We start from the raw sequence: 3433 nt of genomic DNA on the forward strand, positions 1-3433 counted from the left end.
TGAAAAATGTTGGACTGCTTTATCTGATGTCCAAACCTTACAAAAAATGTTTGCATGGAAAACTAATTAATGGTTCAATGTCCATCTTCAAGCCAAAGTATGTGCACAGCTCAAATGACGTTCAATTTTAGGCCATTGGGATCAATGCTTAATACAGAGTTGATGGTCCTAAGATCCTGGAGATTATTGTCAAGTATCTCAGCCAGGATTCTTAAGCCAAGTGGCTGTTTGCTTTTAACATAAATTTGACCTAGGTTTTCATCCATCACAGAATCAGGATATTGTTTTCCACGTGGTTTTGTGTGTGTGTTTGTGTGGTGAGACAGGCTATTATGCAGTGAGTCTATGCATAATTACTGAATTTTTTTGTTTCATTTTGTTGAATTTTTATTTAAATAATTTTCTGTTATGAACAATTTAATTCTAGTTGGTTATTGGTATTTTATTAATTTAAATATGTGTTTAAATCTGATCTGCATAAAATGATCACTACTCAACTAAATTCCAAAGGCTTATAACAAAAGAAATGTTTCAATTCCTGGTCAGTGATACTTAAGCGTTTTGGTTGTTTTCAAAGAAAAATTTCATCATCTTCTCCAGTATAGTCATATATATAACTAGTGGCACCCTATGTAGAATGCCACCATTTATGTTGATGATTCTAGTTAATATTTCAATCAATTATTACTGAATGATCTCCAATCAAATATATCAGTTCTTAAGAACATCATTGACTTTTTCTTTTGAGATAGATACAGTGGCCCTATTTTGTGATTTGATTAAGTTACTGTCTTTGATTACATCTTAGCAATACTCTTAGCTAACATAACTTACTGGCAGTAGGCATTGTTCTAAGTACTTCATATTAATTAATATATTTAATTTTCATAACTGCACTATGGGGTTTTGTATTATTGTTACTACTACTGTTATTCTTATAAGTATTTTACCACTACTATTATTTTTTACTATTTTTAATTATTACTACTACTATTATTATTCCTATTTGATAAGTAAGAAAACTGAGGATCAGAACTTGCTCACAATTACACAACTAATAATGAAAATAATATGGACTTGAACCCAAGCAGTCTGTCTTTAAAATCATTGCTCTTAATCCTTACACTATAATCCAGGCACATCCTCATAAATTTCCTACCTGTATCCAGCTTCCTCTCTTGGCATTTGCCTCTTAACACCCTATGTTCATACATTACAAAACTCATAGTTGTTTTTGCTTTATTTTGTTTTGAGCCTTTACAATACTTACTTTAGTTAGGGAAAATTATATGGTAGAGGGCAGAAAGGTGTTTCTGATTCACTTGCTTTGCTTCTGGGTCATGGTCTCCTTGTAGATTGTGACTTGCAGCCAATAAGGATTGCTGAAGTGACTTTGTCAAATGGAAATCAGTGTTTGCAGAAATGCGATAGAATAAAAGATATCACAAATATATTTTTAAATGTTCTGTATGGAACTACTTAGATTCCATATAAAGATAATCTAGGTAAGACCTGCAAGAAAAGCTGAGATCCAGCATCATTCATACTTTGTCTATGATGGAACTAAGTGTTGGTTGCAAGGCTGAGAGTAGAGGCTACCTCTCCTGACTCCCTATTTAATGCTCCTTCTTCTCGCCTCAAGAACTAATAGTCTAATAATGGGTGCATGGAAGTGAAAAGACAGTTATACAACTGGGAATGTGGTAGAGGTGAGCATAGAGTGGAAAATGAATATATGGAGACTAGAAAATATTTCCCAAAGGAGGAGATACAAACTTTAGAATTGACTAGGTAAAGGGGAGAAGGGAATGCTCCATGAGGTGAGAGCAGCATATTTTAAAATCCCAGGTCTGTGAGCATAGAGGAACTGTTCAGAGACTGCAAACAACCCAGGATGTCTGGGTAAGCTGGAAAATGAGAAAGGGGAAACTGGATATAGATAGGAGAAAAAAAATATGCCTACTATGCCATATTGAGGAATTAAAATTTTAGCCAGTCTTTTATGGATGACACTGGATGATTTTATACAAAAAAAAAGTGTCATTATTAGATTTGCATTTTAGGAAGAATGCTCTGTAAGAGAATGTGTTGGACTCTGGGATGGGAAGAGAGCTCTGTAAAGACTAATGACGGGGTGCAAAGAGACAAGAGGAAACTGTTGCAATGCAATGGAGAGGAAAGAGCAAATCCCAGAGACAGGAAGAAAACAGTGACATTATGAAAACACGTGCCTTAGGTATCTGTTGCATGACGCCAAGACAAAAAAAAAAAAAAAAAGCCAAGTGAAGAGCCCACTAAGAGGTTCATCATGAGGTAATTGTGAGAAATCCAAGTGGAAATATCTAATTGATATATGGTTCTGTGCATCTGGTGCTCAGAAAAAAATTCAAAGGCAAAATACAAATGTGGTCATTATCAATCATTTGTTTGAACAACATCTAGTAAGCATTTACAAAGTGCCGGTATTGTGATAGGCTCTGGGAATTCAGAGGAGAATCAAGTCAGATCCTATTCTTGTGTCTGTTTGTAGCTTACAGAGGAGGAGAGGAACATATGAAGAGTTAAGGGAAGGAAAGAATTTTTGGTTTGACCACACATTGTGTCCAGAGCACAATGCGATAGTTGTCTCTGGGAAAGGTAATCCAATGCAGTGCTCTGCAGTTATAGTCTCGGTGCCTTTGAAAAAATAATTTGCATAAATAATGAATTGCTATCTCACAATTCAATTAAGTTTCCTTTGGCATTTGACCCTGATTATTATTATTATTTCTGATGTCTCAGAAATAATAATAGTAGCTAACATTTATTGACTACACTTACTACATTTATTGACTACCTTGTCTACTACCTGTTAGATAATTTTCTCAGTATTTCAAGTGTATTTTCTCATTGACTCCTCCCAACAACCCCATAAAATTGGTACTATTATAATCTCTATTTTACAAATAAAGAATCCAAGCACAGAAAGAATAGGTGACTTGTCCAAGTACACTAGTTAGAAAATAGCCAACCTAAAATTCAGGCCTGCAGATTCACTTCAGGTCTGAATCTTATAGAAAAAATAAGAGTAACAGATTATAGGAAAGATAATAAAATGCTACTTTTTCATCATCGGTTGTGCATTCATGTTAAATTGTCTTATTTTGCTCTGCTATAAAATTCATATGAAGTTAATTTTTTTCAGAAAAACCTTTAATTTGGAATTACTTAATGGATTGAGAATCATTCGTATTTTTTGTGCCAGGGAGTAAAATATCTTCTTGATTTCCTTGATTGTGTTTGCTTTTCTTCATTCTCAACCTACCAAAATATTTAATGACCAACTAAGAATGTGACCACCCTCACTGTTACCATGTTAAACAAGCTTAGTCACAGACCTCTTTTTCCGGCTCCTTTATCTTTTATCTAAAAAAAAAAAAAAAAATCAAACTAG

The sequence above is a fragment of the Homo sapiens genome, chromosome 4, assembly GCF_000001405.40.
Source record: "Homo sapiens chromosome 4, GRCh38.p14 Primary Assembly".
Lineage (NCBI taxonomy): Eukaryota > Metazoa > Chordata > Mammalia > Primates > Hominidae > Homo > Homo sapiens.